At 40.0% G+C, this 7,870-nt stretch overlaps 1 annotated feature.

Annotated features, from left to right (window-relative positions):
- Nucleotides 4,709–5,372: an enhancer, noted in NCBI's record as "NANOG hESC enhancer chr10:120025545-120026208 (GRCh37/hg19 assembly coordinates)". NCBI's record gives its function as "activates a minimal SCP1, AML or CMV promoter by ChIP-STARR-seq in naive H9 embryonic stem cells {active_cell/tissue: H9 hESC(naive)}" and the evidence as "EXISTENCE:reporter gene assay evidence [ECO:0000049][PMID:30033119]".

Consider the following 7,870-nt stretch of genomic DNA (forward strand, 5'->3'; position numbering starts at 1 on the left):
GATAATATGGTAAAAATCTTACTTATTTGGAAATGATTCTAACCCAGATGCTATTTGAGCTAGCTCCCTCTTTTTTTAAAGAAGTGCTTTTTATTTTATAGATCATGTAAATGAATCGTGTATAAATTAGGAGATGTTGAAAATACTCAGAGAACAAATTGCTCCCAATAGTTTCATAAAATACCTTTGCCTACAAATAATGGATATGAAATCACAAACCAATTGATTTAATCATGTATCCTAAAGACCTCTGGAGTCACGGCTCAGCTTTAATTATAGAACATCCACGTAAGTAACAATAGTACATTCCCATAAAAAATTTCTATGGTTCAAAGTATTCGCTAGTTAATCTGGCTGCCCCTTCACCACTACCACCATTTAGTTTGAATTAATGAGGATAGATGCACTAATGAAAGCCAAGAATTTTCTTCATTCTGATGAGACAATACAGTCATGGGGAGTAGCTCTATAAAATAATTTCCATGGCATATGCTGAGAAGCTGGAAGTGCTAAAAGTGGTGGTGCCTGGCTCAAGGCTTGTGATCAGAAGGGGGTGAAATTAAGTTAGAACTGAGAATTTTTTACTTTATACAGCACAAAGAAGCAGCCCTCTTTTTTCATATTGAAAGAAGTATTGAAAAATGTACCATGAAATTAAAGCCCTGAAAATCTCTAAGGAATCTGTCATTATCTTTGAACCAATGCAGAAGTCAAAACTTTGCATATGCAGGAATCAAAACACATGTACACAAAATATAATGTTTGGTGATAAATATTGTATAGATAGTATGCATCTTGTATGTGCAATGCATATGTGTACACCTTTAAAATGATGGCTTTAACTGGTAACCACATAAATTTCCTAAGAAATTGTATAAAATCAGTTTACTTGCTGCTGTAAATGTCTTCAAACTTCACTCAGAGAGAGAAGCAGCACAGCTCAGTCAAAAGAGCACTAGTCTTGGAGTCCAGAGGCCCAGACCCAGACATGGCTACTCAGGCAAATGCCCAGACCCAGACCACTAACCACTTAGGCGAATGCGGGCAATTTGTTTAACCCAGTCAGGCTTCAGTGAGGAAAATAAAGGTTCAATTGGCTTGACTCTCAAGGGTTGTGAGAGCTCTGAAATTGTCAATCTCTGTGTAGGAAGCATTTGATGTAGCCATCAGGGGAAAGCTATGTGTGAAAGCAAGTGTTTCCAAAAATAGACATATGAAGGATTGTTTAAAAAATTTGAAGTGAAGAGTGGAAAACATAGTTTTCTTTAAAGAGTGCACGGCCGTATGCACACACACACACACTGCATGCAAGCCTATGCGGAGTACATTTTATAAGACCCAGCAGTTGTATCTTTTCCCCAGTTGAAAAAAATGTGGCTTTGCAGGCACACAGATTACATTGCATTTGTGCATTCTGCATAAGACTGCTGGCTCCAGACAGTCTTAATTCTAATTAATACAAGTTCAGCTGCATCAGTGGGTGGAGGAAGAAAGACTAGAAATGAAGGAAGAAAATGAGATGTTAGCACAAATGCCTATCACATTGTGAATATCTATTCATCTGCATAATATTGATGATACCAAATATGCAAACAGATGTTCCTCTCATTAAATTGTATATGCAAATACTACTGGTAGGAGTGGTAATGTTGTCTGGGGGTTGAGAGATCACTGAGGGTAATTAAAGGTTAATCCAGTTTTCAGTTCACAGGCTATATGACAAGAGTGGTTGTAAAGAAAAATTGTCATTTAACCTTAATTCATTATCAATGGCATATGGATATTCTACTAAAATAACAAAAACATATATGTGCTAATCAATCCCCCAGCCCCTACAGTAGTTGATCACTAGCAACCATCAACAAAGACTTATTGTAAGTTGAGCGAAGTTGAGTGCTGCTATGCAAAGCATTGATAAGAAAAATTATATTTCCTCAAAAAGTGTGTAGAACCCATCTAGAGTCATAATCTCTAAATTCAAATAGAAAAAAATCTGAAGTACCTACATCGCTACTCCCCATATGTAATTAAAAGCATTGTTTTAGATGACGAATGTGAGATATTGGAGGCTGCAATGACTTGACCTAGATTGCCCTGTTTTTCTTATTGGGTGAATTGAAAATAGTAAATTGTTTGGAATATTTTTTGATGACAAAGTTTAACTCACCAGCTGGGGTATTTCCACTTGCCATTTTCCTGGGGTGGGGCGGGGAGTGGAACTAAGCAGTTGAGGTCATAAATGTTCAGAATTAGCAGGTCTGTAAGAAGAAATGCAAAGTCAGTATAAACTATGTATTTGTAGAAAGAGTTGGGAAATAGCAGAAGGAGAAAAGGTTTTCCTGCATCTGTGGAATAATAAAAGGGGATTTATTTCCTGATCAATAGTTACAAAGAGCTTACCTTTGGTTTAGTGGGAATTGGGGTTCTGAAAGGGTAATCTCCTCTCCCCTTTACTTCTTTAGTCCTTGATTCTACAACAAATGCACAGTTATTCACTCAGCATAAAGACCCACGCAAAGCTAGTGAGCAGAATACCTGAAGTCTCCATGCTCCTGTAAATGTAAAGCATGCCTTCTGCTCCGACCATTCAGAGATGCTGAACAGAGTGAAATCGAAAGTCTCATGGGCAAACTGGTCCCTAACATTTAATCCTCATTACACATTGAGTTATTTTTTTTTTTACTTTTAGCTAAACTCAAATTTAATTTTAGTTCTCATGCCACCAGAAAAACCGAAGCTCCTTTCAAAGTTGCAATTCTACATTACATTTAATCAAATCTTGGAAATAAACCTAAAGCTCTATTTTCGCTCCTACTGTCTCATAGGAAACAATGCTGGTTTAAGATGCTAAAAAAAATTGCCTTGGGAAAGAATGTATTTTTCAAGAAAATGGACTATGTTTAACTCACCCAAAACAGCTTTTCATAGAATTTTTACAATATTGACTTATGAGAAACCCCCAAATAGAAGATAGTCACTATAGTTCCAAAGGGAATAGGGAGATGGCTTACAACCCAGGGTGGTGGGTTTTGTCTGCACAATACCAACCCATTTAACTTGGTTTTTTTTTTTTTTTACCCCCACTACTTAATTTACTGATTTTTTTTCTTCTCATTTTATTTATTTATTTATTTATTTATTTATTTTTTATTGATCATTTTTGGGTGTTTCTCACAGAGGGGGATTTGGCAGGGTCATAGGACAATAGTGGAGGGAAGGTCAGCATCTTCTCATTTTTTTACATCTCTACCAAACTGCTATTTGATTTCCAGCCAGGAAGTGGGTCTACCAAGTTTGAGAGGAAGACAGCCCATCCACCCCCACTGCTAGTAACCGAAGGGACCTGATGAATCCTCTTACTTACTATTTGACTATTTCTTAGCAGGAAGAGAAGGAGCAGGGTGTTTCCCAGGTCTACGCTTAAAGTGAGAGGGTGAGGAATAGTTAAGGCGCTGCCTGAGTTATTAGTACATAATATGTGCATTTTCCCCTGGGTAGATATTAAAAGATCTGATCACCTGCCCTCTCCTAGCTAATTCCGGGTAACATTTGGAGATCTCCAGCCCTACTCTCAGGAGGCTCTTTTGAAATAACGTGGCCCTGTGCTTCTCTATTTGTTAAGTAATTGAGAGGTAATAGTGATTATTCCACATTAAGAAGAAGTCAAATTCCCCTAGCAGCAAGCAGCTCCCATTAGCGGTGTGCTGCTTACACTAGCAGATAGGTGGTGTTGAGGCTGAATTTGGGGAGCTAGACTTTAGTTAGAAAACTTCAGACAGGATCCACTCATTTTACGAAAGGCAACAGAAACACACGTCCCACAGAGTAGAAGCCCTTGATTTTGAGTGATTCCTGGCTCCTTTCCCCACTGTCCTAAAATACAAGGGCTGTTTGTGGTTGATTTAGGCCATGTCAGTGACCTGAACCTCCTTATGACTCATTCTTGCTGGCCATCTCGGGTAAGCTTTGGTCCTGGCTTGCTAAGGTCTGATGAATCTGATACATCTGGGGCTCACCTGACTGCACAAGATCATGAAGATAAGCAATAAAGCTCGAACGACCCAAAGGAGAGGTCCAGCCGAGACATCTCAGGCAAAGTGCCCCGGGAGACCGTGTGAGGAGTGGCCACTCTGACTTCAGGAAAACCACTCGACTGCACTGAGCTTCAACATCTTCAGCTGCAAGGCAGGAAAATAATAGTACTGTCCTCATATGACAGTTGAGATGATTCGATGTTTTAAATACATATTTAAAGTATTTTAAGAAAATGTTTTAATTGAACTGCTAAGCATCCAATATTAAGGAAGCTAAAATGATAGTGATAATTAAGATTAGTAACATCAGCTTGAAACAGGTATGCTAGGGCCCTGTGAAGAGTTTCACTTAGAGAGTGTCTCTGGATGTTCCCAGTGTCGCAGCTGCATTATCCCTGCACAATGGGGTTGGGTTTCCATCCATTCAAAGACAGCAGCTGGGCACCTCATCAGATTTTAGGGGCATCTCTTTTAACAACATCCTATGGTCCTTATAATGGTCTCCTTGGAGTCCCTGAGTTGCATGAAGAGATTGTCCTTAGCAGCTAAGTTCGATCTCTAAGAGGCAACATGATAGCTCACTTTCAAGCCAGTATTGAGGTGGGCCCCAGGCAGTTTATATTAGAAATTCAAAAAGTGTGCGTATGCCCACAACCAAACCAAGTGCCATCTGCAAAACTGGTGTTCTCTAGGGTAATGTGGGGACTCTGGTGTTTCAAAGCTTACGTGCAAATGTCCCTTACTAGCTCTGAGTTGGCACACCACTTCACATCTCTAAGCTTCTAAGTGTCCTCATCTGTAAAATGGCAAAGGATTGACATATGGACCACACAGCAATGCAGGGTAAACACTTTGCCAAGTGTCCAGTAGCATTAGAAATAGAGGGATTTGTAGTGTTGCATTCACCATGGCATCCTGGTGTCAGGCATCAATAATTGGAACACTGTGTCCACAGTGACACCACTATTCTTAAGCCTAATGGTTTGCTAATTTAACTCATTAGGGGCTTTAAGCACTTGAAAGGGTGTTTAAAAACACAAACCAACAATTAGTCTTTGGGGACCAAAGAATAAATGCAAGCATAATGTATCACTTTTCCTGACTCAACAAGCACCATTTTGATGTGCTAATGGACCCTAGTGAAGGCAGTAATTTTCATTTAACAAAGCAAGCCACCAATCCAAATGCAAACTCCTCTACCCAGCTACAATCTCTGCTTCCCGTGAGTCAGCCAGGAATCAACATAACATAGAAACAGGGTAATATATGTAATATAAAATGCACTATAAAGAAATCTGTGTCATGTAAAATGAAGTTAAAAGCACTGATCCAGGCCAGGCGCAGTGGTTCACGCCTATAATCCCAGCACTCTGGGACACCGAGGTGGGTGGATTGCTTGAGTCCAGGAGTTCGAGACCAGCCTGGCCAACATGGTGAAACGCCATCTCTACTGAAAATATAATAATTAGCCAAGCGTAGCAGCACGCACTTGTAATCCCAGCTACTGGGGAGACTGAGGCATGAGAATCGCTTGAGCCCAGGAGGCAGAGGTTGCAGTGAGCTAAGATAGTGCCACTGCACTCCAACCTGGCTGGGTGACAGGGTGAGACTCTGTCTCAAAAAAAAAAAAAAAGCATTTCTAACAACCACGACTGATCTTACCTTCTCTGCTCCTGAAGGTTCTCATCTACAAAACAGGCACAATGTCACTTGCTACTCACCTCACAGGATGGTGAGGAATATGGTTTAATGTGGGCATAAAGGATAAAGCACCATTCAAAATTCAAAATCCTTGTATTCTGATACATTAACCTTTCGAGTAAGTGATACAGAAATTTATCCTGCCTCTATGAATTCAAGGAAAATAATGTGATCTCGAAGAGAAGAGGGAATCAGAGAAATGTATGTATGAAGTGGGTCTGCTTTGCACAATTTTTGAAAGTTGTGACAAAATATACATAACATACAATTTACCATTTTAACCATTTTAAAGTATTCTATTCAACAGCGTTTAAGACATTCACAGTGTTGTGCAACCGTCACCTCTATCTCATTTCAGAAATGTTCCTCACCCCCCAAGAAGGAAACCCTGTACGCATCAAGCAGTCATTCCTCATTCTCCTCTCCCCCAGCCCCTGGAGACCTTTCATCTGCTTTCTGTCTCTATAGATTTGCCTGTACTAGACATTTCATATGACTGGAAGCATATAATATGTGGTCTTTTGTGTTTGACTTGTTTTACTTAGTCTAATGTTTTCAAGGTTCGCCATGTTGTAACATGTACACTTTACACAATTTTAAGCCTAATATTCTTTAAGCCATATATTCAAAATAAACAGCTTACAAAAATGATAATCTAGCATTTATTCAGCACTTACTATGTGCCAGGCACTGAGTACTTTATATATGTGATCTCACATAATCCTTGCCAGATAAGTAGTCTCATTATCTCCATTTTACAGATGAGAACGCTAAAATTCAGAAATGTTAAGTGTCTTGTCCAAGATCACAAGGCAATTAAGTGGCTAAGAATCAAACCTGGTTTTCCAGAATCCAGAGCTCTTGCTGTTAATCATCACATTTGGTATTCACACAGCCCAAGAGGACCAGGCCACAAAACACTGGAGTGTGGCCAGGTAGCAATTCTGGAGACCCCAGGGGGATCTGAGAAGGTTTACAGGGAAGGGCATCACACAGAAACCTGGATCACCTCAAATCTTGCAAGTTGTATTCTGGCTGTCAGAGGCAACCAACTGGGGCCTGACTGGGGCAGAAATGCCCCAGGCATGGATGCCAGGACTGCCAGGCGGTGCCCCACATTCCCACACATCACTGTCCTTTCACTGAACACGACAAGATAGAGTGCAACCACTGGACAACATAAATGCTCTGGTCCCATTTCCGGTCATCCTCTGATGTCCAGGCTTGGCTGAGCCTGGAACAACTTGGACCTGGAAAAGTGTCATGTCTTTGGCTAAGTACCCCGTCAGCTTCCTCTTGCATGTTGCTCAAACACAGACACTAAAAAAACAGAAGACTAGAGCATTACACCCCACGATGTGACATAAAGAAATGTATAAAGCCCTAAGAGAATTTTAGCGGCTGCAGGTGGGGACTCAGCCAGTGTTCAACAGGACTGTTGGTTACAAAAGAAGGAACTGATGTTTTGATCCGTGAGAAACTGATACTAAATCTTCAGTGTTAAGTGAAGATCTGCAAACATCTTCCTTTTCCTCTGCTGGTGCTGGATTCATAGGATAGATACCCCTCATTTTCAGCCATAGTCTTGTTATTCTTTAATCCACCTGACTGTAATGAATTTAAATGATATTGACAGAAACACGGTACAGATTGAGTATCCCTTCACTGAAATGCCTGGGACCAGAAGTGTTTCAGATTTTAGACTGTTTTTGAATTTTAGAACATTTGCATGTACCTAGTGAGATATCTTGAGAATGGGACCCAAGTCTAAACACGAAATTCATTTATGTTTCATATACATCTTATACACATAGCCCAAAGGTAATCTTATAAAATATATTAAATAATTTTGTATATGAAACAAAGTTTTGACCATGACCTGTCATATGAGGTCAGATGTGGAATTTTCCCCTTGTGTCAGGGCTCAGACACTTTTGAAGTTTGGAGCATTTCGGATTTTGGATTTTTGAATCTGAGATGCTCAATCTGTATTACGTGTAAAGAGCATGGAATGAAAGAAAAGGGACCACTGCGTGAATTCTGCCTTCTCTACTAAGGAAATGTAGAGAGACCTTGGGTATATCACTTGCCTTTTTGCAGATTTCCCACCTGAAAAACAGGCTTGACGAAGGGAT

Source organism: Homo sapiens, chromosome 10 (genome assembly GCF_000001405.40).
Source record: "Homo sapiens chromosome 10, GRCh38.p14 Primary Assembly".
In the NCBI taxonomy this organism is placed as follows: domain Eukaryota; kingdom Metazoa; phylum Chordata; class Mammalia; order Primates; family Hominidae; genus Homo; species Homo sapiens.